Here is a 27,921-nt window from a genome sequence, read left to right as displayed (position 1 = left end):
GTGTAATTTCCTCCCCTTGAGTACAATCTGGACTTAGGGACTTGCTTGTAAAAAACAGAATGGGGTAAAAGTGTGAGGATGTTGCTTTCATGATTGGGTTATAAAAAATGATGTCCTCCATCTGCCAGCATTGTCTTTCTCACTAGACTATCTCTAGCTCTCTCACCTGCTCTCTCTCTCTGATTGAAGCCAGCTGCCAAGTTGTGAGATGCTCTCTGGAAAGGCCTATATGGCAAGCAACTAAGGGAGGTCTTCAGCTCCTGAGTAACTGAGCCCTCAATCCAACAATGTTCAAAGAATTGATTCCTGCCAATAGCCATGTGGGTGATCTGAGAATCAGATCCTCCCCAGTCAAGCCTTCAAGTAAGACTGCAGCCCTGGCTGAATCTTTAACTGTGGCCTTGTGAGAAACTCTAATGCAGAGAACTCAGCTAAGCTGTGACCAGATTCATAATCCACATAAATTGTATTATAATAAATACATGTTGTTTTAAGCTATGCTTGGGAGTAATGGGTTACACAGTAATATGTAATTAATACAGGAGCTTTCAAATTACTCTAAGTGTGCTCACTGCCCACCCTTTATCCTAGTAACTTGGCACAGCACCATAGATTTTGAAACATTTGACCATCCTCCCTAGTATGATCAACTCTCCCATTCTTATCTTCTATTTATTTGAAAGCCAATGGCTCACCTTTATACTAAAAAAAAAAAATAAGTACTTAAATAATTAAGAATTTATAGTACATGTAGGCCTCCATATTTGTGAACTGAGTTTTATGGTTCAAAATGTTCTAGGTATGTGGCATACTTGTTTACCCTCGATGAATTGTTCTAGGCATGTGGCATACCTATGGCAACTACAATAGAAGAATCGTAATTTGATAAAGGAACTAGGAGAGGTATTAAGACACAACAGTAGAAAGTGGGACAAAACTGGCAAGATAATGAAAAGTGGAAGTGTTGGAGTTAGATAACTCAGGGTTTCAGCATGTTATGAATGTATAAGTTCTATGATTTAGGAGAAAAACATTAAACTTTCAAGGCCTTCAAAGTTTCTCATTTGTATGAAGGGAGATAGGATCAACTGATGTAAATAAGAATCTGGGACTTGGGACTCAGTAAGTGGTAAATTCCGTATTTCTTCCTTGCAAAGACAAGAGCGGAAGAAACTTTCTACATGAATTCACATTCTTTACTTTTCCATCTCATACCATGCTTTGGTTTTTGTGGAGTCTGAAGCTCATTTCTCGTTTTCTTACATCTCAAGTTGACAAGATGTAGTAGTCAATGGATTTTGCATTCATTGTGAAGTCTAAATTTAATCTCTGATGGATGGAAAGTATAAACCATATTTGATTTTAGAAAGTCAGCTATTTTCTTTCCCTTTTCATATAAGATGAAAGTCTCCATCAAGTTGTCTATATTTTGCACCCCTCCTCCCCACCTCTACCTTGTATCTCGGAGGCAAGGCAGACATAGAGGGAGAGCTGACATAACCTGGTCTGTTTCAGCTATGCTGAATACCAGGGCTATATTGTCAGGAATAAACTTACAACTGAGGGCAAGCAAACCTAAATGCATTCACGTGGAAATAGGGTTTAATTTAGATAAAGGAACTTTCTCCCAAAGATGGCTCACTAATTGCAAGCCCAAATCTTATGAGTATATTTGAACATTGGGCTTTTCTAAGTAGTACATTGCCCATTCATCCTCTAGTAACATTCAAGATATGAGTGGATAGGGATGTATTTTAGAGTTTTTGTCAGACCACTCATTGTGTCAGTGAGTAAGTCCTGTCATGCAATGGGACACACTGAACAGTAATAGTACAAGCAAGTTGCTCAAAGTCAGTTGTTTTTAGCTAATTTGGAGAATTTCTTTGCTACAGACATCTTGAGTTTATCCAAAAATCCTTGTATGTTAAGAGCACCTACTTAAGAACCATAGGCTCATTAGTCTTACTTAAGAGACTCTTTTGTCTTAGGATTTGTTTCAGGATCCCCCAGAAGCAGTTCTTTTTTTTTTTTTTTTGAGACGGAGTCTCGATCTGTTGCACAGGCTGGAGTGCAGTGGCATGATCTCGGCTCACTGCAACCTCCACCTCCCGGGTTCAAGCGATTCTCCTTGGCCTTCTAAGTAGCTGGGATTACAGGTGCACACCAACACACTCAGCTAATTTTTTTTGTATTTTTAGTAGAGCTGGGGTTTCACCATGTCGGCCAAGCTGATCTTGAACTCTTGACCTCATGATCCGCCCACCTCAGCCTCCCAAAGTGCTGGGAATACAGGCTTTAGTCACTGCGTCCAGTGAGAACCAATTCTTTTGAATCTGTTTTCTGATAACAACCCTTCTCTTTGGTTTCTGGTTTTGTGAGATGTTTGTTCAGTGGGGCTTGTGTTCAGCTTCCCAGATCTCCTTCACCTGCGTGGTCCCTTCTTTGAACACAGGCCTCCTGGCTGTTTCCAGGCCTGGACTTGGCTTGCCTCTCACCAGGCAGGGCAGAGCTGGCCAAAAAGGGAAATAAAATCTTCCATTCACCAGTTGGCCCAGTCAACCAATTCAGCAGGGTAAGACTACTTATTGCATGTCCTTTGACCGAACGGTTGTCTATTTGCCTTTTAAAAAGGTGGTTTATATTTTTACCCTTCCTGTCTCTCCTGTAAGCTTCTTTAGATCACACCTGATTCATATTTGTGTCTTCCACGGTACCCATCCTGTTTGGATTGTGCAGAGTTTAATATATGTATTTCTTGAGAGTGAGAGAAGAAAAGGAATCAGCATTTATAGGATCCTGTGTGTTAGTATTTTACATATGCTATCTATTCAGTATTAACAAAGATCCTTTTCTTTCATTTATGGAGGAAGAAACAATTTATTCAAGAACAGGTAGCTAATGTGCAACAGAGAAGATGTAGAATCCAAGGCTCTCTGGTACAAAGCCCGTATAATGTCTTTTATTCCTCACCAATGTGGTTTCAGTGTGGCAATCTTGTGAGATTTTTTTCCTGCAATTTTTATCATTGAACCCTGTATAGACCTTTCTGATTATGGGACAATAGCAGTCTGAGAAAATTGCTGGAAGGTTAAAGAGTAGATTTGCAAAAATTTAATTGATAGAAACAATAAATGTATTTTAAATCACTCAGTTTGCATTCTTTCAGTCTATGCTTTCTTGTTCATTTTGATGAAGAATTCTTTGTCATATTTTGGAAATAGTATTGACAATGTATTAGTGTAAACAGGAGGAAAAGATCTAATGATGCCTCTGATTGTAAGAGTTTTAATGATCTAGACATATTCTCATCATTTTATTTTACATTATATTATTCTCATATAAAATAGTAGTATTTAAAATATTACTCCCTTTTAGAAAAACCCAATAAAAATAACCATTTTCCTCATTACAAGTGACAAGTTTTTTAAAATTAATTTTAATTTTAATTTTAAGTTTCGGGGTACATGTGCAGGATGTGCAGGTTTGTTACAAAGGTAAACGTGTGCCATGGTGGTTTGCTGCACCTATCAACCCATCACCTGGGTATTAAGCCCAGCATGCATTAGCTCTTTCCCCAAAGCTCTTCCTTCCCCAACCCCACCCCCCAATAGGCCCCAGTGTGTGTTGTTCCCCTCCCCGTGTCCATGTGTTCTCATTGTTCAACTCCCATTTATAAATTTTTTTAATGAAGAATGCTGCTTAAATATAAAGCGCACTAAAAAGGTGGTAAAAAATAAGAAACTCTGCTAAATAGTTAAAACTGGCATCACTGGATGAAAGTGACTTTCAAATGAAAATGTAAAAAGAAAATTTTAAAAATTAATCTTTTATAAATAGTAAAAGCACTCCAGGATACAGAAAAGTTACTAATACATCAACCAGTAGTTGCAAACGCTAAGTAAAATCTGACAAGAAAAATATAAATTCATGAAGGCATTGCTAAATGAACAGAGCATGCATAATTGGTGGAGAATACATTTTAAAAACTGTCTGAAAAGTAAACAAAAAAGCATTCAAATATTCAAAAAGCACAGTGAAAAACTTTTGAAAAAATGCTAATACTGTAAACAAAATTCAGAATTTACCAGAGAGGAAAAATCAACCCAGCAAAAATAGCCATTTTTAAATGGATTGGTTGTTTTGAACATCTGGCTTAGAGAGTTTTGTTCTTTCTGTGAACATACACACACCTTCCTTGTCTGTCGCCCTCGGTTTTAGTAGAATGCTTCTACCTAACTCACTTGAACCTTCTTCTTTCATATAGACTCATCTAAATTCCAGAGATTTGGCTTTTCAAGTCGGTGGAAATTACCCCTCCCACCTCTGTTACCAATAGTCTACTATTTTTTCATTTAAGCTGTTTACCTCCATTTCGAGGTAATTTTGATAGCATTACTGTGTCCTTCTAATCTTCTTCTTAGCAAGGAACTTCTCCTGTCCTCCCTGACTGTTTTGGGCATGTGGCTGAAAGGGACAGACCTAGTCTTAGAACCTTGTCTCTAGTCTCAGACGTATTTCCATATGACTAGTTCATTTCAACCCTAAAAACCTTCTTGCTGTTTGACTAACTCCATGCTTTTTGCCCCAATCTATTTTCTCTGTAAGGAGTCTCTTAAGCTTTTCACATCTTTTTGAACAATACTTACTTGTAGACCAAAAATCACAGAAAGGACATCATGGTGACTAATCTGACTACTGACCATATCCCATTGCAAACTCCAAACAGCATGTGACTTTTGTAACTCACATTGATAAAACTCTTTGAAAAATTATGGCGTGTTTACTGCAGAATATTATAATGTGGATTTTTTAAAAGAAAACTTGTTTCATCTGATTTAAGGTATATGGATTAAAATAAAGGCAATTGAGAGATGTGATGATTATATACGTCTGGCTCAAACAATTCAGAGACAGTAAGTGAATAATGTCCCAAACAACTCTATTTTCCTTCCCATTGTCTCTCATGATTATAATTGAGCCAGAACTTTTAAAAAGCCCACAAGATTTCTCATGGTTAATATTTCCATGTAAATCTCGTGGGAATACGTATTGAGGAGCATTATTAGAGGAGGTGGAAGGGAGAGAAAGAACAATTCCTCTTCCTTCACTGTGAGGGAGAATGCATAAATACAGCCTAATCTGCCCGAGAGGGAAAATGGAGTTATTGATGCTGGATGACAATTACATTGTACCATTTTGGTTTAAGTAATTCATGAGTCAACATCATTGTGCTAATCAGGTTATTAAAATAAATAACAAAGGAATGAAAAATTAGGCCATTAATTTGTCAAACATATTGCCAATCTGGTTATTATGAGCCTTACAATAGGTACTGCATTTCTAGTAATCATTCTAGATATTTTATAAGCTGATTATAGCAATTCTTGGACACTGAGTTTTCAAGATTTTTAGAAAAAGTATTTTAATAAATAGACATGGGTGATGGGGTTAAATGTTCGTCCAAGTCTTTTTAACTTAATCTGAGCTCTTGACAAACAAAGTAAGGTCAAACATTGATTTATTAAGCATTATATAAATTCAATTAGGTTAAAACTCCACTTCATTTTATAGAGTATTGTTTATAGAACTGGGAAATTGTACAGAGTATATTTTGTTTTATGCCATTTTTTATTCTTTATCCCAGTGATGACCACCGTTTTAAGTGTATATTTTGAGTGAATGCATAACAGTAGAGATTGATTAACAGATTTAAAGTATAATATACAAGTTCGATTTTATCTGGTAAGAAGGGAATGCACTAATTACATGAAAACTGTAATTAACTCAATTAATTTTAAATGTATAATATTGCATAATTGTTTCTTTACAGATTCAGAGTAATCTTGCTTGGCATATTGTTATTATTAATTAAGTTAGAAATCCAAACAATTTCTGGTTTCTTTTTACTGTAGACATCACAAAAAGAGAAACCTATATAATTAAAAAAGCTAGATGAACTATACTATCTGTGTCTCTTAAGAAGAGGGCTTAATCAGCAATTAGGTGCTTATCTTGGAAGAGTTATAGAATTTATCTGGAGATTTAACATGGAGTAAATACTAGTTTTGGTCCAAAATGTTCACTTCCCTGATACCAATATGTAAAGTTTTATTAGATCATAAAATTCAGAGTATTCAGTTATATCAGTCAGGATAGGTTAGGTTATGCTGCTGTAAGGAGCAACACATGCATTTCAGTGGTTTAAGACAACCAGGTTTACTCCTCATTAATATTACACGTCTATCACAGGTGAGTTGAGTATTCTGCTCCATGTCGTCCTTTATTTATCACTTGGGCTAGAACATTGCTGGTCTCCACGGCAGAGGGAAAGCCTAGTGAATTGAGCACTAGCTCTTCTTAATATCTTTATTTATTTGCTGAGAATTTCTATTTTAAAATTTGTTTCAAAAATTTTCATGATTTCTCTCCAAGCATTTTAACAAAAATCACCTTAAAGTCTTTGTCAGGTAATTCCAACATCAGTGTCATCTTGGCCTTGACATCTGCTGATGGTCTTTTTTCTTACGAATTTTTGATGTTCTTTGTAAGTTGAGTAATTCTGGATTGCATGCTGGACATTTTGAATATGTCTTGTTTAAATCCACTGGAGAATGTTGATATTTTTTAAGATTAGGAAAATTGTTAGGTTCAGGCCGTAAGTTCCAATTTTCCTCCCGTAGGCTGTAGTGCCAGTATCAGTTCAGTTTCAAAGCCTTTATACTGCACTTCAGGTGTATCAGGCCATGTCCTATGCAAGGGATAGTCTGTGACTCAGTGGTGGTAGTCTATCTCTTCAGTTCACAGTCTTTGGTATGTGAATTAGTATCAGATCCATGGGTGTGAGGCTCTTAGAGGAGACCTGGAGTTTATAGAAAAGGTTATGGGATTGCTTTTATGGGATCAAACTCTTCCCTGTCTGCTATCTCCCAGCATTTTCTGGCTCCCTGGGTTTCCCCATTTCAGAATTCTGGCCCAAATCTTGGGGCTTTAGTTGCCCCACTTTGCTGAACACTTCTGTGTTTGGGCTACTCTGGGACCAAACCACTAAAGGACAGAGAAGGAAAAAAAGCAACGAGTTGGCCCCATGTTTTTTTAGTCTCAGCTCTTCCAACTGGAGAGGAAGGTCCCCCTCCCTCAGAGATTTGGCTGCTGCCAGCTCCCATCACTGGCCACTGCCACCCCCACAGTGGGATTGCCTGGGGGATGGAGGATAAAAGAATGGAAGACGAGTGAGGAATAAAAGGAGGGATTCCCATGTTCTCTCTGACTGTTAAAAGTTCCCATTTTAGCTCCTCAGGCCAGAATTAGAGGACTGTTCCTGGGGCTCTCTCTTTGCCACAGTGCTTACTTCTATCAAGTCTGGGCTGGGTGATGTTGAAGAAAAAAAAAAAAAGGAGGCCCGTTGCTAGTTTAGTGGGCTTCAAAGTAGTTCAAACAGCACTTCAAAGTAGTTCAAATAATTTCAGGATGATTTAAACTAGTTCACTTCACATTCTTATATTCTTCCCCAACGTATCTGCTGAAATTTGCTTTTCAAAGACCTCAACTAGCTGCTCTACGACTTCTGTTCAGGTTTTATAGTTGCATCAAGTGTGAGAGATGGGTGAAGTGTGCCTTCTATCTTACCTGGCACTGGATCTGGTACTGGCTCTTAACACTTTCAGCCAGAAATGACATGTTACCTCCATTCCCATTTTATTAGCCAGAGGAAGTCAAATGGTCACACCTATCTCCAAGAAGAAGTGCAACACTACTATCTTCCCTAAAGGAATGTCAGAAGTATTTGGTAAATAGTACTCATGGGTACTAGTGCAATCAAATTTTGAGCTCTAGGATGAGGCTTCACTTTGAATAAGCTCAAGCATCAATTGAATATACCTAAGCTAGAGAATTTACAGCTCTCTTGAAGATATGTTTGGGTCTCTATACCATTACAATATATAATTATCTTTGTGGGATTATCTATATTGAAATCTACTTACAGGGAGAATCGGCCGGGCACGGTGGCTCATGCCTATAATCCCAGCACTTTGGGAGGCTGAGGCAGGCAGATCATGAGGTCAAGAGATCGAGACCATCCTGGCCAACATGGTGAAAGTTCATCTCTACTAAAAATAAAAAAAAAATTAGCTGGGCATGGTGGCGCGCACCTGTAGTCTCAGCTACTCAGGAGGCTGAGGCAGGAGAATAGCTTGAACCCAGGCGGCAGAGGTTGCAGTGAACCGAGATTGCACCACTGCACTCCAGCCTGGGCGACAGAGCGAGACTCCGTCTCAAAAAAAAAAAAAAAAAAAAAAAAAAAAAAGAAGAAGAATCCATGATAATATATTCCACTCATATAATCTTGAACCCATACATAGCTACAAGATAAAAGAATATGTTTCATAAATTCCAAAGATAGTATCTATAAGGAAAAATATCTATATAGTTGAATATTAACTAGAAATGCAATATAACTGACAGGACAAAACAGAGTTTAGTGGAAAAAACATTTAATTTAGAGTCATTAGATTTATTGGTACTCAAAGATTATATATGTAATATATACTACATATTTATTAGTATATAGGTTGCTAATTAGAGGCTATTAGCTCCTTAATTTCTTCTTGTCTCTCTTTACTTTGAGAAAAAATATCTGTATTGTGGAAAGAACTAAATGTTACTATCATTATTTTGTTGTACTGAACAACCTTATGATATTATACCTTTGATTCTGTAGGTAGTTCCATGTTCTCCTAGTTTTCTGTTTATACCTCAGAATATGGTGAACTTCATTACAATGCAGCTTCTCTATTTTTCTACAGTTTTTGCAATCCGCTGGGTCATTAATTGTGAAACCGTAATAATAATCAGTGCCAAATTATTCCAGAGCAAATATGGACAAAAACTCCCAAGAAAGGGATATAGGAAAGGAAATAGAAAATAAAATGAAGGCCGGCACGGTGGCTTACACCTGTAATTCCAGCACTTTGGGAGGCTGAGGCAGGCAGCTGACCTGACGTAAGGAGTTTGAGACCAGCCTGGCCAACATGGCAAAACTCCGTCTCTAATAAAAATACAAAAAAAATGAGGCGGCCGTGGTGGCAGGCGCCTGTAATCCCAGCTACTTGGGAGGCTGAGGCTGGAGAATTGTTTGAACCCAGGAGGTGGAGGTTGCAGTGAGCCGAGATCGCACCATTGCACTCCAGCCTGGGCAGCAAGAGTGAAACTCTGTCCCCCCGACCCCCCTCAAATGAAAAGAAAAGAAAAGAAAAGAAAATGAAGGGCAATGGTGATTGACACATATGAATTGTTTTGCCTCTTTTATCATTTCTTGTCTACATTTATAGCTGTCAATCCATGTGGATTGGTTCCAGGACCTCCTGTGGATACCAAAATCCACAGATATTCAACTTCCTTCTATAATATGGCATAGTATTTGCCTAAAACCTGTGCACATCATCTGGTATACATATCTAGATTACTGATAACACCTAATGCAATGTAATTCGTTGTTATACTATATTGTTTAAGAAATAATGACAGGAAAAAATGTATATGTTCAGTACAGATAATTCTTAAAAATATTTTTGATCCACAGTTGGTTGAATCCATGGATGGGAACCCACAGGATATTAACCCATAAAGAGATAATTTAATATAATACATGCTAAGATAAAGGCCTGTAGAGGGTAATATATAATGCCATAATAGCTATGGCTGGGGACATTATCATATCTGAAGAATTTTACATATTTTATCTTAACTAGCTCAATGAATAAAGAAAGAAAATACTTTTATATCCATTTTAAAGATAAGGATACGGAAGTTTAGAAGAGTAAATGACAGATCCATAAATGGAATCTATGTCTTTCAATTTCAAATTCTCTTATCTTTCTACGACAGTCTGCTACTTTAACATATATAACCATTTATAAGCCATCAACCCCTAGCATTTTGTTGAATAGGGAAATATTACAGTCTCATTAAAATTGATTCTAGAAACCTCCAAATCAGTTTTGGGTACAGCTTACCTATGATGTTCTACACCTATCCCACTTAGAATCGTTTGCTTTCCCCATTTGTCTCCTGTAAGTTTCTTCCCCCTTTAAAAGCAGAACTTTCATTTTACTTGACTTTGAGCATAGCATTCAGTTTCAAACTTCAGCACTACTAGAAAATAATTTAGAAAAAGAAAGTTGTTATATAATCTCTCAACAGCCTGGAGAAGGTACGGGGCAAGGACTCAGGTCTACAAAGGAAATATGCAATTCAGCAAGTAATTCTCAGTGAGCTTACAGTAACATGACTCACAACAAGAAAATCATTCAATAAAATATGCTGAATGGGAAATGATTCAGTGAAAATATTATTCAGAACAAGCAATTACTGAGTGAAGGTATTACCCACAGCAGACAATTACTCAGTGAAAATATTACAGGGAGCAGGCAAATATTCAATCAAACATTTGACAAGGAGAGCAATTATTCAATAAACAATCATATAATTGTACCCGATGGAGCAGGGTTGCCATACGGCATACAAATCATTTACAGACACCCAGGAAGAGGTTTTGACTGTTGAAAATGCAGATAATTTATGGTTCTCATTTGTCATTGTTGAGATAATTTCATTTTAGTTTTACTTCCAAGTAAACAGCTTAAAAATGTTTACAACCATTCTAAAAATCAGTTTCTCAAGTAATCCCATTTTAGTTTTTTGTCTCCTCTCTCATATTATTCTCTTGCTTGTTTTTTCTCCCTCTGTTCCTTATTTCCTCCTTCTCTGGCTGCTTCTGTTTCTATCTCATTATTTTCTTCTTTTCCATAATATGCTTAAAGGTAGTGCTGACTACTAAAAACCTATGTTTATTACTAAATCTTCTTTCTGTAAGTCACTCACGAATATGTTTTCTAAGCAGAAAACATCACCAGCACCTATTTATCACACATTGGTGGATTACAGATGTAATTTGCAATGCTAAACCCAGTTAGAATGTAACTACAATTTTAAACAGTATACAGGCTAAAATGGTGACAGCCAATGAATCAATCAATGTATACTTCAACAGACAACATTTATTGTCTGTGTGTTAATGGTCAATCACTATGCCATGGGATACATATGACAATTCCTGCTCTCAAGGAATGTGTAGACCAGTGGTAGAGACTAGCCCCCTATACCAAATATCAACATAATATGGTAAGTGCTGAGAGAGGTATCACCAGGGAAGAGGGGACAAAGAGATGAGTTCCAGAGAAGCTACCTTGAACTTCTGGAGCCTGTACTGAGCGTGGAAGAAACACAAACATTCAGCCAGGTTAAAAAAGGTGGGAATGGAGTCTGAGGCAATGAAACAGCACACAAAAAATATATAGAGGCAGGAACCAGGCGATGAGTGTGGGGCTACAAGCAGTGTGTTGCAGCGAGTGACGTCAATAGACGGCAACTTAATCTTTTTCCTTAAATTGTATGTAAAAGGGTATTGGTATACGTAGTTTTCTTTTTACTTGTTTTCCAGTTTTGCCAGGACGATTAAATATCATTGATGCTTCTGGTCTACAATTAGTCAGAGAAGAGATTAAAAAAATGATGAGTATTCAAGAAGGAAAGTGTTTGCTTTAACATATGAAGAAAAGGAGCTTCAGAGTGGTGATTAACCCCAGAATTGTGTGGAACGGATATGGAAACAAGACCACAGGAGCATCGAGAACTGAGCAGAACTGAAGGTGACATGAAAATCAGCTGCAAGATTCACCTCAGGGTGATAATGGGCTGCAGGTGGCTGCAGGAATCCCGGGACATTCTAGGCACTGCCATATTTTCTTAGGGGCCAGTAAGGATGGCTATCATCAGATGTACCTGATGATACAAACATGGGCTGTCTTGCCTTCTAGTATTCATTCTTGATGATTGCATCCAGAGCTCACTTTGGAGGTGCAGATCAACTCTTCTTCAGGCTCATCCATGCGACTTGAGTGGGCTCTCATCCCCATTCCCAGGGGCTTATGACAATCAAGGTTTCCACTCCTCCATGGTCTCAATGGTTTTTCTCCCCATGGGAAGCACATAATCCCATTAGAGGCCACGGGAAGCTTTTTTGTTGGGCTTTGAGGGAAAAAAGGCTTTTGCAGCCAATGAATCGATCAATGTGTACTTCAACCTGGATTGTATGTATGCATCTCCTAGATTGGGCGGATGATGAAGTGAGGCTGGAAGTGCTGAGCATCTTCCTACCTGGGATGACTGGGCTGAGCAGGAAGCCTACCCCGGGGTTCCAGCCAAGTTGGAGCCTGTGAGTGTGTGGTGTAGTTTAACGCCCTGATTAAATCACTAGGAAGCCATTTCTCTCTCTCCTCCCAGACCAGATCAGACAATATGTTCCCTTATTTCTACTAAAGCCCCAATTGGATTTTGTGTCTTTTGATACTGAAAGAATCTTACCACAAATAAAATAATTTGTCATGTGGCTCCTACATATTTATTCAGTTACATAAACTAACTAAATAAATGAATAAACTGTCAATAATGGTAGTTCCTCATCTATGAATGACTCTTTACAAAGCCTATCTCGCTTAATAGTCATAATAAATACTGAAGTAGATACTATTTATACCTTTTTTTTAAAAGGAATTAAATATTTTCAGGGTTATACAAAGCATGAGTATTGTGGGTACAAATTCAAGCTTTCTAACTCAAATTTGAAGACTTATCCCCAGGATACTTTTACATCTTTAGCTAGTACCATGTATACCTCAAAAGCTTACATTATTTTTCACATGTGTTAGGTTTTGAGGGATAATCAATAAGGAGGGCATACTTTCAGGCTTCTTATTTATAACTGTGAAATTTAGAAATTGATGGAGTAGCAGATTTCTCGGTAGGAGACAGCTGTTTTAAAATGCCCCATGTTTTTATTAAAGTAAAAATCTCAAAAATTGTCTTTTAAAAAGTGGCTCTGGCCAATCTTAGATAAAACATCATTTACTAGACTTAGGAATTTCCTGTAGTAAATTTCAGATTTACTTTTCGGTCTCACATCATCAAAGAGATCATAACCCTTTGTGCAATTATGGTCTTGAACCAAGGCCTATTCTCTAGGTCACTGCTGTCAGGACTTCAAGATAATTGTTTCCATTGCAGGATTTGATTTTTAATTCCCCGGATGTTCTTGACGTGGTTCAGTTCTTCAGGAAATCATCACCCTCATGAGCCCTCCCTGCCACTTGCAGATAGGGCTTTCTCCCGGTAAGTTCTGGAGTCACGGCAGAGCTCAATAAGTCTGATTGGGACCTCCTATGATTATCCAAACTATAGATTTGTTTTTGTTTAAATTGAAACACTGAAGAAGCAGTGCATAAGACTTTGCAGTTAAAAAATAGACAAGTAGGCCGGGCGCGGTGGCTCACGCCTGTAATCCCAGCACTTTGGGAGGCCGAGGCGGGCGGATCACGAGGTCAGGAGATCGAGACCATCCCGGCTAAAACGGTGAAACCCCGTCTCTACTAAAAATACAAAAAATTAGCCGGGCGTGGTGGCGGGCGCCTGTAGTCCCAGCTACTTGGGAGGCTAAGGCAGGAGAATGGCGTGAACCCGGGAGGCGGTGCTTGCAGTGAGCCGAGATCGCGCCACTGCACTCCAGCCTGGGCGACAGAGCGAGACTCCGTCTCAAAAAAAAAAATAGACAAGTATTTTCCTTTTGAATAAAAGTGCAGTAGCTACACATTATGTTATTTAATCATAACTTCAGGAATTAAAGAAAGGTTTCCTGAAGGGTCATTGCTATCTTATGTCAGGAAATTAATAGGATAATTAAATACCCTGTAGAAATGAAATAAGAAGGACCTCTTTTCTCATTTGAACTTGATCTAAGTGTATCAAATTCCAATATAAAAGAGTTACCACAAGCAGTCATAGTACGCTCTATGATATGTTTTGATGATCTTCCTTCACACTTTGCAATGTCACTTAGTCACCCATTTTATATGTTCTTTCTACTCCTAATAAATTGTGACCTTGTGGAAGGCATAGATGATCCTTTAAGAAATCTTATTATTTTATACCTCCCTCCTGAATCCATAGCATAATCCATCATAATATTAGATGCTCTGTATATGTCTTGGAAGTAGATCTGCATCTTGATCCAATGCATTTGCAATTTGTTTTAAAGAGAGAAAATATAAACTCAATTCTAGTGAGATGATGATGAGACAGATAAACATATTGATAAAAATATAACATGATATGAACATATTGGAGAGCAATGTAGCTGTATCTTTCAGAGCCCATAAAAATATTTAAGTGTTTTGGACCCCTCATTATATAAATAAAGATTTTATCCAAAGGAAATAATTTCTCAGTCCTGCTGATAGCTTAATTTTGGCTCAGTGATATTGATTTTGGACTCTTGGCTCAAAACCATAAGAGAATAGAATTCTGTTCTTCTAAGACATCAAGTTCATGGTAATTTGTTACAGCAGCTGTAGGAAATTAGTACCAGAAACTACAGTGTCATCCAGGAAACTATGCTGTTATACAGAAAAAAGATGATGGTGGTTAAGACTAGGATGATAAAAATGAAGATGGTAAAAAGAATTGCATTTTAAAAAGGTTTTAAATGTAGAACAAATAGGATTTTCAGTCAGATCAGAAATGGGATATAAAATAAAGAAGTCAAGGCTAGCTCCAAAATTTTTGCCCAAACAACTAAGATAATTTTGTATCAGTCGAGATTAAAATAAGTTGCATGTGGAGGTTTTTCAAGGGGTAACCAAGAGTTCTGTTTGGGACATTTCTGGGTTTGAGATTTTCTTTTTTTTTTTTTTTAGATATCTAAATGGAGATTTGAGTAGGCAGTTGGATATAAAAGTGTGGAGCTTGGCCGAGAGAGCTCTTTGGCTGGTGATCCAAATTTGGGAGTTATTGGCACATATTTGGCATGAAAAGCCATGAGATGAGATGAGATCATCAAGGGAATAAATATAAATGGAGAAGAGAAGAGAACTAAAGACTAATTCTTTGGGAGCGGCACATAATAGGTTTTGAGAGAAACTTCATATATTAAAATAACCACAGCAACAATATTTATAAAAATTTATATATAATATTAATGTTCAGTGGTAGGAAACTCCTATGTCAATGGAGTTATCTGTTCACTAGAAATGATGATTATGATGACAGTGGAAGCAATCAGGATAAATTACTAAGTAAAAGAAATTAGAACTCAAAATATACATTATAATGTAAGAATGAATATGAAAAGGCATTATATACAATTAAAATAATTGTGTTAAATTTTGTTTTCCTATACTGAGCAGTTTTCAGCTTACATATTCTATAATTCATGAGATTCCATGTGAAATAATATTGATTCATCTCATAGTGCTGGTTTAGAAATAACACAATGGAATATAAATTGAAAAGAATTAAGTCAAATTTAAAATCATATTTTTTTGGAATCACAGTCATTTTAAAAACATTTTGAAACATGGTAAATATAATGCAATTATTTGTTCTCAATACTCATGATTTTTGTAGATAAAGCAATAGAGAGAATGGTAGGTCAACTACCTAATAAACACAGAATTAGAACTACTTCATATTATGGCCTCAGGGAATCTTCCTGGGAGATAGACTTAAAAGAGCTACTTGTTTATGCTATTTTGATGATAGACTTGAATGCCAAATGAGACTGATAGATTATTCTTGCTTTGTGTGTATATTACTTGGTTGCAGAGCTGTACTTGACCTGAAGAGAGCCTCTCTCAGTTCTTTGGGGTCTCAGTAGGATAAATATGGGCAGGAAAACTTAAGTGATTGAAGTCATGATGAAAGGAAAATCTTTGCTGTTCTGCTTTTAGTTGATGATTCATTTTCAGTTACCTTGAAGTGTGAAAATGACTTATCTTTACTCATCAATTTTAAAAATGATAGGGTAAACTAAGAGATCTTTCAAAAAATCTTCCATTACCAGTCCAATCCCTTGAACCTTATTTCCTTTTTTATTTTTTAGAGTCTGTGCTCTTTCTATACTCAGAACATTCATAATATTTATAATTTTTAATATAACACACAAAATTATGTTATGGACATTGAACAATTATATTAATAGAGAAAATTAAATTGTATTTATTAAGTTAAGATTTCATTTAAATGCTGAAAGTCTTCTTTGAAAGGATCAAAGTTCAACTTTCTTGACATTTATGACAATTTTATATAGATTATTTCAAAAAAAATTGACATGTTCTTGTTAAGTGATCCTCTAGATTGCTTCTTTTTTGCTTCTAAACTTTGATGCAGAGAACTTTTATCTTAATAAAAGCCATTTTCTTTGTCAAAAGAGGAAATGAAAAGAAAAATATAAATGTAAGCATCAAAGAATGCAGAGCTATTAGGTAAGGGTGTGTTAATGGAGATTCTCAAGAAAGATGATCAAGTTTTCAAGAAATATGGCCCATTTACTTCTGATTTCTAAGAGATATGAATTTGGGCTATGATAACCCTGAATCAGCTCCTGTCTTATCAGTCACATGGTAAAAATTTGATACTCGATGGAGATGCATTTAGTGTTTTAAATGTTTAAATAACCCATAAAAGAGAGGAAAAAAAAGAGGTCCTCAACTGCTTACATATTGTAATGCAAAACTATCACTTTGTTGATTTTTCACTGATATAATGACATTAAAAACATTTTTAAAATGCCATTGCTTGGATTTTACTTCTCCCACAGCTGATTTGTAACATGTGAACATAATCTTGAATTCTCTTGAAAAAGTGGCTGCAATGAAAATGTTTAGCATCCAAAAGGAACAAAATCATGTTAAGTCTAAAGAAAAGCATGTCCATGATTCATGACCACTTTTAATATTGTAAATCATTATCCATAAACTCAGAAGACTTCTGTAAGTTTAAAAAGCAATGATGGGATAATTCTGCAATTTGAAAAGCCATTATTTGGCATTTCCATTTCTGGCTCTGATGGAGTTGTTTGTGGAAGTCCTGCTGAGATAATCTAGAAAAACCAAAGAAAGTACAAACAATAACATTTCTTTGAAGGCATCAGAGAGCTTCTACAACAAGACTTCAGGGCACAAGATCTTGGGAGAGTAGAATCCACATGCAGAGGTGGGCTGATACCATCTAGCCACTTTTCTTTTAGGGTGTTGCTGATTATAGATGCAAGTCAAAAGGCTGAGAGTTTAATGAAGGGCATATGCAGAGGATTACTGGTGAAAGGCAGAGAAACAATCAGAGATTTTGTCAAGATACAGGAAAAAATAACATTTAGAGACTTGAGATTCCAGGACCTCAATGAGAAGAGATGGGTAAAGAACTGACACCAATACCACTGCTTTTTCCCCTCGAGACATCTGTGTGATTCTAGAGCTGCGTGGGGTAGGAGGCTAAGTAGAGCAAGAAGATAAACAAAAAGCCCTGGAAATGCAGGGAATAGTTGACAGCAGTCATGATGCTGAGACAAGGGTTAGAGTTCAGGACATTCCACGGGGAGGGATTCTAGTGAATGCCCCAGGCTCTCAGTGGGAGGTACTGCAGGGCCACCTCCTATTAGCAGGAAATGAACTCAAGGTAGTGACAATACCTCAATACAGCTAAGCCCCCAGTAGGATTAAGGTGAACAGCCCCATACTATTACCTACCAAAGGAAAAGCCAAATCTTGTATAGAAGAAGATAATATGGTCCTAAACTTCTATAATTTTTCATACATCATATTCTGCATTTAATTTTAAAATTATCAGGTATATAAAGTGATAAGATCGCATGACAAAAAACAACAACAGATAATAGAAACATACACAGGTGATCCAGATATTGGACAGGGACTTTAAAGTCTTTATCATTAATATATGGAGAAACATGTGGAGGGGTAAAGATGAAGAATGCACCAGACAATTAGTATTTATTAAAAAGAGAATCAATTTGAAATTATAGAAATAAATAACACCAGCCAGGCACGGTGGCTCACACCTGTAATCCCAGCACTTTGGGAGGCCGAGGCGGGCAGATCACCTGAGGTCAGGAGACAGAGACCAGCCTGGCCAACGTGGTGAAACCCCGTCTTTAATAAACATACAAAAATTAGCTGGGCATGGTGGTGCGTGCCTGTAATCCCAGGTACTTGGGAGGCTGAGGCAGGAGAATCACTTGAACCCGGGAGGTGGAGGTGCAGTGAGCTGAGATTGAAGCACTGTACTCCAGCCTGGGCATCAAGAGCAAGACTCCATCTCAAAAAAAAAAAAAGAAAAGAAAGAAAGAAAGAAAGAAAGAAATAACACCGTAACTGAAGAACTCAGATGGATTTAGTGGCAGATTTTGACACAGAAGACAGTATTAGTGAAGGTAGGTTAGACAGAGGACAAAAAACTATCAAAAATGCAGAAAACATGTAAAGAGTCCTGTGGGACACAGTGGAAAGATCTCACACAAGATTATATAGTCTGAGAAAACAGGAGAGGGGAAAATGGTGCAGACGTAATATGAGGAGAAAATGGATGAGAACTTTCCAAAATTGATAAAAGATATTAACCTACAAATAGAAGTTATACAAACTTCAAGAATAAGAAATATAAAGAAAGCCATCACTCTTAATATTAAAGGTCTTCATAATCCATGCACATATTTCTGTTACCAAGGCCAACTCATTCTCCTGACACTCAAGGCCACTCACAACCTGGTTCTACTTCAGTTATCTTCTCCAGCCCTTATCTGTTCCTTTCAATTTCCTTCCCTTTTTTGTGGTCCTTTTCACTGAATACCAGAAAGAAACATCTATTCTGCTCCTCACAAATCATATCTATCATTTTAGGTTTCCTATACTCATCTAATACTTTTCTGTCTCTATACTTTATTCAACTTTAAAAAATATCCAACTTAACATTTAATCATTGCTTACACAGTGATGCATATTACAATCCCTAGAATGAAAATGGCCATTGTACTTGCTTTTGGGGACAGTGAAGCAGGGGGAGTCTTGAGCAATAGTTTCTCAAATTTCAGTGAAGATCCAGAATTAATCATGATAGCTGAAGTAATTCCAATATGCCACTTGTTTACAACACAAAGATCTATTTTTCACACTATATGTCCATGGTGGGTTTGTTGGGGTCTCTGCTCTGTATAGTCCCTTGGGAACCCAGGCTGATGGAGGCTGCACCATCTAGAATGCAGCTGGTAGCCACAGTAGAGGAGCAAGAATGAAGGAATCATGCACCATGAGTTTAATGCTTTGGCCAGGAGGGGACACACATCATCACCTCTGCCAGGCCACTATCCAGAACTCATTACATGATCCTACCTAACCCAGGGGCTGGGGGATGAAGGAGAGAAAGGACTCTATGGTGAACGCTATCAGCACTATTATGTCTTTCACAAGCCCCAAGGAGTAGAATGAGTACTGTAAACACCAAAGAGGAAAGAATGGTTGACTGAGTCCTAGGAATCTGTGGAAAGAAGGAGAAGCTAGTGAGTCAGCCTGTGTTGAGAGGATCCTAGGTTTAACTGTAGGGCATCCCAAGTGGTTCTCCAACAGACACAGACAGAGCCTGATTACCAGGAACAGAGGCCTGAAACGTTCATAGGCCTAGGGGATCAGGTTGTCCACAACAGAGATGCCATTCAGTTCCTACCAGGCCTCAGCAAGAGAGCTGAGGTCCGGATAGAGGAAGTCATTGCTCAGAGCTAAGGTTAACATTTGGGATTTAACATCTCTTTCTGAATTTCCCTTTCACAAAATATCTGAAAGATGCAAAAGATGAATCCTTTCTGCCCCCCAAAATCCTAAGAATAAAGAATGAATAATCAACCTAGAGCAATTGTACTAAGGATAAACTTTCTAGTTTCATCTGAAATGTTTTAAGCATAAGCCTGTACTGAAGTTTCAAATGAACTTTTTAAAAAAGTTGCATATATTTATGGTGAACAACATGATGTTTTGTTTTACAAATACATAGTGAAATGATAGCTACAGTCAACCAGATTAACATATGTACCATCCCACAGTTACCTTTTATGTATGTGTGTGTATGTCTGGTAAGAGCACTTAAAATCTACTCTCAGCAAATTTCCAGTATACAATACTATGTTCTTAAATATAGTCCTTATGTTCAGAAACATTTTCTTTATTTTAGAAACACATGACAGTATTTATTTTCATCTTTAAAACTACTCTATTTGCTAGTTACTATTATCCAAATTTTACAGATGGAAAACCAGAGGCCTGAGGAGATTAACTACTTACCCAGGTTTAACAAGTATGACTATCTGGCTTACACGTTTCAATCTGAGACTGCCTGCTTTCTTCATATTGAGGGAATTGTCAATTTAGGCTATATATCCTACTGTCTCTTCGTGCTGATGAGCCAAAATACTTGGGTTTTTCAGCTAATTTTAAAAATGAGTGATTGCGTACCTGTCCTTCATGGTGTGTGCCTTTTGGCCATCTTTACCTTCAAGGAGTTTTGCTGGCTAAGTGCTGGCTGGCATTTGAGAAGTTCCCCAGGCTCTTGTCTTCAGGCGAAGAGATGATTATACCATTTGACAAATGTGATACCTGAACTGAGCACCTAGCAGAAACAAGCTTTCACAATGATAGGACAATTTAAAGATTATGTAGGTGTTCTTATGGGTTGCAAGCAATTTAATACCTGCACCAAAATACTAACTTACATAGATACTGGGCAGTGGCGTAAAGCTTACAGAGAAGGTTAAAAAATATGGAAGCTTCTTCTGTTGCTAACAAATCAAAAGTAGTGAGGACAAATCGAGAAAATGGAAATGGAAATTACTTCTCCTGCAGTAAGCTAAGAAATGGAAATTTTTCTTTCTTCCTTATTTCTTTCTCAAACTTAATTTTATAGCAGTTTTGCTCTGCAAATAAAAAAATACTATTTTCACTTTTGATGTGATTTTTTCCAAGCTTCTTTCTTGGTAGTAAAATGTCCTTACTGTATTCATACTAATCTGTAAAAAGCAAGAGAATTGTCTTTTCTGCCTCCAAGCATAGAACAAAGTGCCTATATTTCTCTCTGACTAACCTAGGATAATGTATTGTACTAATGAACCTAGGCCTGCGTAAATTTCTGTCTCTGGTCCTATCACTGTGACCAGGAGGAGGATCCATTTATACCCAAAGAAAGCAATAGCGTGCGTACCCTCCCAATCCATGCAGCTGCTGTACACATAGGAGGGGATGGGTTCTTAAACCAATGGTCTGGTGTTTGCTGAGAAGGGAGAGGAGGGTCTAGATGGTGTGTGCGCAATGATTACACGTACACTGCACCCAATGACAGTCCTCTCTAGAGTGAAGACATTGTCTTCACATTTAGATAAAATATTTTCAGGAACCATTTCATGGTGAATTGATTTGCAGAATAAAAGATAAATTTATTTTTAAAAAATATTTGTCTAAGCAGGGGATAACCAGACCTCTATACTCCTTGTTGTATCAAGTGTAAGCTATGGGTACATCTGGAGAGAACAGAGCCAGGCAGAGAGAAGAAAGGCCTCTTCCTGGACATGGCAGTATTCCATAGCTTTGGATTTTGGTCTCCTTCCTGGATCACACCTCTCAAAATGTCTCTGGTAGTTTCTCTTCAACTTGCCCACTCGTGAAGTACCAGAAACATCTCTTGTGACTTTTTTTGGATTCTGTTTCTTGGTGCAAGATTCCACCTGCTTTGGTTCCTGAATATTCTGGCTCTGACTCTTCACGTCCCCTAACTTGGTTTTCACCTCTGTCCAACGCTTACTGAATGCAGTAACCTGCTATCCAATAGTGATGATATTCCAATATTGTACAATATGTTGGATACATATGTTCTTGTATAATGTAGAATATTCTATGCAGTCATCCCTGGAACCTGTAAATATGATAATCAATCACTCCTCTGATTCTGTTATATTATATGGGATGGTAGACCTTATGATAAAGAAGTTTTCTGAGCAGGCCTATTAATCACAGGAGTCTTTAAAAGCAGAGGGCTTTCTCTGGCTGGTGGCAAGGAGGAAGGCAGAAGGGAAATCAGAAGGATTCGAAGCATGACAAGGATTTCACTCACTGTTGTTGGCTTGAAGAAAGATGGGTCCACATACAAAGACTTAGAGGGCCTAGGAGCTGTGAATAACTCCCAACCAACAGCCTGCAAGTAGACAGAGACCTTAGTCTTACAACTGCAAAGAACTAAATTCTAAAGTCTTCAAGAAAGAACTCATCTAACACCTTGATTTTGGTGCTGTGATATCTTGAGTATAGAACCCAACCAAGCCCACCCAAACTTCTGCCTGCAGAATTGAGAGCTAATAAATGGGTGTTGTTTTAAGTGGCTAAATTTGTGGTAGTTTGTGATGAACCATATCATTAGACCAAAAGCTCCATGTGGACAACAGCCTCAAGTGGCCTCCTGATTTTGGGTAAGTGAATGGAGCTTTGCATAAGCTGGGCTATTTGGTTTCCATATATGTAAATGACAGAGGTATTGTCAAAGAACAAAAGGAGAAGGTGCAAATGAAAAACTTCTTCAGTTACTGGGAATGGTAGTTTTGTAAGCAGTTAGACACATGGCATCTCTTGTCTTTGATTTCAAATTATTCATTTGATTTACCACATCCAAGTAAAGGAACTGTATTTTTATCAGCATAGATTTTTCCTGATTTGAATGGTCTCTGAATATGAAGGGCTTATTCCTTCCTTTCTAGTTCCTCACCCAATATACATGAATGGTGTTGATCCATTTAGTTTCACTTACCAGGTGACTGTGACCCCAGCAAATCATTCCGATAGCTTCTCTCTAAGGTTGAATCTAACATGCTTCATGAGACACATTATTTTTATTCCATTTTGTCTTCTATCAGAACAGTCCAATTAGCTGGAGCAGCACAATCCCTCAAGAATATTATGTTAATGTCAGCTCTCAGAAACTCCTGACATTTGTAGTTTTAATTCATTTGCAAGTTAACCATCGTGATTACTTTACTCTAAACACATGAAAACATTTCTTAGTAGGAAATTGGAGGAGGTGGTATTTAAAAGCAAAACCTTTTATGCAAAAATTACACATGAGGAGGAAGTTTGCATGAGAGAGAATCAGCTGGTACTAAATAGACCAGCATTCATGGTGCAGAAGCTGTCACAATAAAAGAATAGAAAAAAAGCACTTTGCTTTTCCTTCTTATAGATCTGAGTTTCATGTGCCCTTGCATTTCAACTAGCTAGTGGGAGGACGTATTTCACTTTTGTATATTCTTTCTTTTGCACTTGTGAGCTTTAAACCTTTCTCCTGCAAGACCAGTAGAATTCTTTTTCTAACTTGTTATTATATATTTGTACTCTTTTCTCCATCCTGGAAGCTCATTGTAGTAGTGGATGATAACTTAGGATCCATTATAAGAATACGGATAGTCACAGGTGAGTGTCTTTTGGGAACTACTTCTGCATGCAGGGGTAATTTACATGAAAATGCAGGGGGAAATAGAACGTAATGGGCAAAAATTTCCTTCTCTACCAGTCCTGTGGAGACTGGTACTAGCCTTCAGAGCCTCATGTTAGAGGAAGACAAGGGGCGTAAGGTCAACACTTGATAGCTGGAAAGCTAGAATCTTCTGTGGGGTGATTCAGATGGGATATCAACAGAACAAGAAGGTTTCCACAGTTAGCTTAGCTTGTCCTTTGTAAACTGTAACATTTCAGCACTGATTGGGTCTTTCAGCATAAATCAGCACATAAGACTGAACAGGAAGAAATGAGAATCCAAATCACATAGAAGAAATGCCAATTTTGCCTTTTATGAAAGTCATAGAGTGATTTAAGATAAAAAGAAAATAACAAGTTATGTTTAGTACATAAAATTAGATTTCAGCAAGTTGCTCTAGTAAAAATAATACAAGAAGACCTGGGTTTTAATTCTAATTTTGCCCCCTAACTGGTTATGTGTAATTTTTATAGTGTTATTTAGCCTCATCTGTTTCTCATCTGTGAAATAATATAAGAATAAAATACAAGATCTTCTTAGACTTAAAAATTCTGAATAAATTCTCAAAACCCCCACAAAACTATGATTCTTAAGACAAATGTATAGAAATGGTCTTAAAGCTGTATTGACTCAGGTCTAGAAGTTGTTTTGAAGGCAGATTGTGTAAAGGTTCTGGGGAAAAATATTTTCAATACTGGCATTATTGAGAGATATTAAAATCAGGTACGGAGAGTATACTTGAAATTTTTATGTTTTCTTTAACCTGTTCCTTCAAAATTTAAGTTCAAACTCTGCTTTTAAATGACATATGGCAATGCAGGCCTTCTAGCTTCCCACTGAAATATCTCCAAATGAATAACCATAACAATAAATTGAAAACACATAGCTGTACCCCCAACAAGTGTCCAAATATAGCTTAATTGCAGAATATGGCCAAAATCTGTACTTACGGTGAAACAGACAGGGCTCAGTTAAACTGACTCGAGAAAAAAACAATCCAACTTAAAAAAATATTTTTTTAGAGACAAGGTCTCACTGGATTCAAACTCCTGGGCTCAAGCAATCCCCATGCCCCAGCCTCCCAAGTAGCTGGGACTAGAGGTACGCAACATGGCACCTAGCCCAGTCATTATTTTAGTGAGTCTGAGAACACGTTTAAAAAAGAAAGATAAGTGTCCACTCTTAAAATCGTAAACGTAGTTGAAAAGAGGCAGTGGGAGACAGTTATATCCTGTGTGATAAAATCTTCATATGTGAGACCGAGGTAGGAAGAGCACTGGTAGATGAAATGTGAAATATTGATTTTATAAGTTACTCTCTATTTGAAGACTATAAATCAGCCAGGTAGTATGGAAGGAAACTCTGCTGTCCCAGTACAACAGAGGAGCAGTAGGTGAAACTTTGTTAGAACAAGAGAACTGGACCCTTAGTTCCATCCATAGCAAGGTGAGTGAGTCATACCAAGTGTGGCGTGGTCCCCAAGGTACAAACAACACAACTTATCACCTGCAGTGCCCAGGGTGTCTGCTTTAACAACCCTGGATCTTGTTTCTGGATTATAAGGAGAGCTAACGTGTTTTGAGTACTTACTATGTGCCAGGCATGATTCTACATGTATAACATGCCTTACCCCATTTAATCCTGTAAGCAATCTTAGATGTAGAGTTAACGATTATCTTCATTTCACAATTGAGGAAAGTGAGGCACAAACACAGTAAGGAGCTTACCTAGAACATGCTATCGCAGCTAGCATTCAGATCTAGGCAGTCTGACCTCAGACATGTTTTCAGAGTTGAGATCTGAAGAAACAGTTCTTCCATTCTATAGGCAGACAGAAGGCAGGGCCAAAAGGATCCAAAATCCTCTGTGGCGATAAGTGGCTTCTCTGTCTGAACAAATCCTGCCTTCTTTGAAGATCAGTAAAGAAACTAGCAGCAAAAATGAAGAAAGCAATGAAGAGAATATGAAAAACAAAAACGGTGTAACAAAAGGAAATGGAAAGAGCATCTGGAAAACTTAATAAGAACATACTCCTAAAAAGGCTATAAGCAAGGCTTAAGGGAACATTTCAAAGGACTGGTATCTTTCATAACTTGAAAGAAGATATAAAAATGGAACACAAAGCTGCAGAAGAGAATGAACTAGGATGAAAAAGTTGGAGATGAGGTGGATAAAATAAAGAAACGAGAACTAAAACCCCAAACCAGAGTTCAAACCCTTATTTCAGTCAAGTAGAAGCCTCATGTTCCTGTAGAATGTTGAAAGAATGACAATGCCTCCTAGAATTCACAATGCTACAATGGAATTGATTTTCTTAACTGAACACCATTCTTTCAAGCATTTACTCTAGAATATTTGATCCATAAGAAATAAAATTAAAATTCTCTTTTTCTTGTCAGTTCTTAGGATGGTTGAGACAGCTTAATTTTTTTTGACAACTTTGATACTTTTTGGAAAAAAATATGTTTCTAAGTTGATATGTGAAGCATCGCTATTTCCAGATTGTAGTTCATTTGAAAAGAAATGCTAGGACAGTTAACTGATGCTGGGAAACCTGCAATTCTAGGAAAAGTGAAACAAAGTCATAAAATGTGCCAAACATTATGAAACCAGTTGTTCCACTTCCAGTTTCAGCTCCAACATGTTAAAGAGCTTGGAGTTCATCACCCCTGTCCTTACAACAAGAGAAAATGGAACAACCCGATAATCAATGACTTTTCTTGGACCCATCAAAGAACTGAGGTTTCGGGCCAAACTATCACCTTGAAATCTAGAGGGACAGGGACATTCAGTGAGATACAGCTGAAACCTGCTTCCCTTGGGCAGGAGCTACTCATCCTTGCCTTGCTAGTTATCTGGAGAGTTGCTGGAGGCTGAGTGTGGACTACTGTGAAAATGAGGACAATCACAGAGAGACCTTGTACTTTCATACAAGTTCCCTCCATGATCCCTACCAGGTTCTTCAGGCTGAGGATCCAAGAAAAACCCCCTCATGGCTCTGGCATAAGAAAAGGAAAAGTAGGCATTGTGTAACCTCACCTAATTTTTCTCCATAACAAAGGCCTGTTCTACAGGGAAAATTTCTTCATCACAGGATGAGACTGAAGCCTTATCCCAGCTGGACATGGTTCCAGCCTTCCCGTTTCCCCTAAAGAAAAAGAAAACAATAATCAACAAGGGACAGGGCATCAAGGTAATAGATTTAGAATACTGTAGTCAAGGAATGGAGCAGGAGGTGAGCTGGGAAGAGCAATATTCTAAAGGAAGGAGCAGAAACACTCGAGAAGGCCAAACCCCAAGACAGAGGTCCACTAAAACCCTGGGACTATAGATTGTACAAAGCTTCCTTTGCATCCTACCACCACTTGAACACGCCTCCAGTATAACAACAGTGGGTTATAGCAGAAAGAGCTGCAAGACATAGACTCTCTCAGAGGAGCAAGGAGCAGAAAAAAGGGAAGCCCCACAGCCAACGAGGCAAATGAAAGGTCAGTGGAGAATTTCAAGCCTTTGGTGCCTGTAGCCATAACAAACATCACACACAGCCCAATTCCTGGCCAGATTAACAAAACTCCATTCTCACACAAAAGGTCTGTTTAACCTCAGTACATATTAAAGATACATGTCCAGCTTTCAACTAAAGATTACAAAATACAGTCTGAAGAGATGAAAAAAAAATCATCAGAAACAGACTTAGCTAAAACATAAATGTTGGAATTATTAGAATTTAAAATAACTATGATTAACATATTAAGGACACTAGGGGATAAAACAGACATTACACCAAATAGGTAATGTTTACAAAGAGATGGAAACTGTAAGAAAGAATCAAAAGGAAATGTTAGGCCGGGTGCGGTGGCTCACGCCTGTAACCCCAGCACTTTGGGAGGCTGAGGCGGGCAGATCACTGGAGGCCAGAAGTTCAAGATCAGCCTGACCAACATGGTGAAACCCCGCCTCTACTAGAAATACAAAAAATTAGCCGGGTGTTATGGTGGGTGCCTGTAATCCTAGCTACTCAGGAGGCTGAAGCAGGAGAATCGCTTGAACCCAGGAGGTAGAGGTTATAGTGAGCCGAGATCGCGCCATTGCACTCCAACTTGGGCGACAGAGTGAGACTCCATCTTGGGGGAAAAAAAGGAAATGTTAGATATCAAAACACTGGAACAGAAATGAAGAATGCCTTTAAAGGGCTCAGCAGTTGATTCAGGAAAGAAGAGCAATCTTGAAAATAGGTCAATAGGAACTTCTTAAACTGAAATGCAGAGAGAGAGAGAGAGAGAGATCCAGGAGATAACATTTAGGAATGGTGGGAAAACAAAAAATGTTGTAACTTATGTATAACTGGAATACCAGAAGGAAAATAAAGAAAATATGGGCAGAAGAAATATTTAAGTTAATAATGACTAAGAACTTTACAAAATTAATGACACACACTGCACAAATCTGGAAGCTCTG

At 37.7% G+C, this 27,921-nt stretch overlaps 2 long non-coding RNA genes across 3 annotated transcripts in view; one reads left to right on the top strand and one right to left on the bottom strand.

Moving 5' to 3' along the window:
- LOC105371956 (uncharacterized) overlaps positions 1–12,448 on the top strand; it is a 92,178-nt gene extending 79,730 nt beyond the window's left edge. The window contains exon 3 of the long non-coding RNA XR_935087.3: positions 11,501–12,448. This is a non-coding gene — a long non-coding RNA (uncharacterized LOC105371956). The remainder of the gene's footprint in view (positions 1–11,500) is intronic.
- LOC105371957 (uncharacterized) overlaps positions 1–26,881 on the bottom strand; it is a 29,740-nt gene extending 2,859 nt beyond the window's left edge. Inside the window, exons 1-3 of one of the 2 annotated variants that reach the window (XR_935089.3) lie at positions 25,191–26,881; positions 10,014–10,152; positions 7,983–8,360 (exon numbers count right to left, since the gene is read on the bottom strand). This is a non-coding gene — a long non-coding RNA (uncharacterized LOC105371957). Of the gene's footprint in view, positions 1–7,982; positions 8,361–10,013; positions 10,153–20,415; positions 20,574–22,053; positions 22,135–25,190 lie in introns of those variants that run through there. The other variant, XR_935088.3, reaches the window with a different exon arrangement.
- Between the last annotated feature and the right edge of the window lie 1,040 nt (positions 26,882–27,921).

This window comes from Homo sapiens, chromosome 18, assembly GCF_000001405.40.
Source record: "Homo sapiens chromosome 18, GRCh38.p14 Primary Assembly".
Classification (NCBI taxonomy): Eukaryota; Metazoa; Chordata; class Mammalia; order Primates; family Hominidae; genus Homo; species Homo sapiens.
Note: the sequence above shows the minus strand (reverse complement) of the source record. Positions and strands in the feature narration are given on the sequence as shown.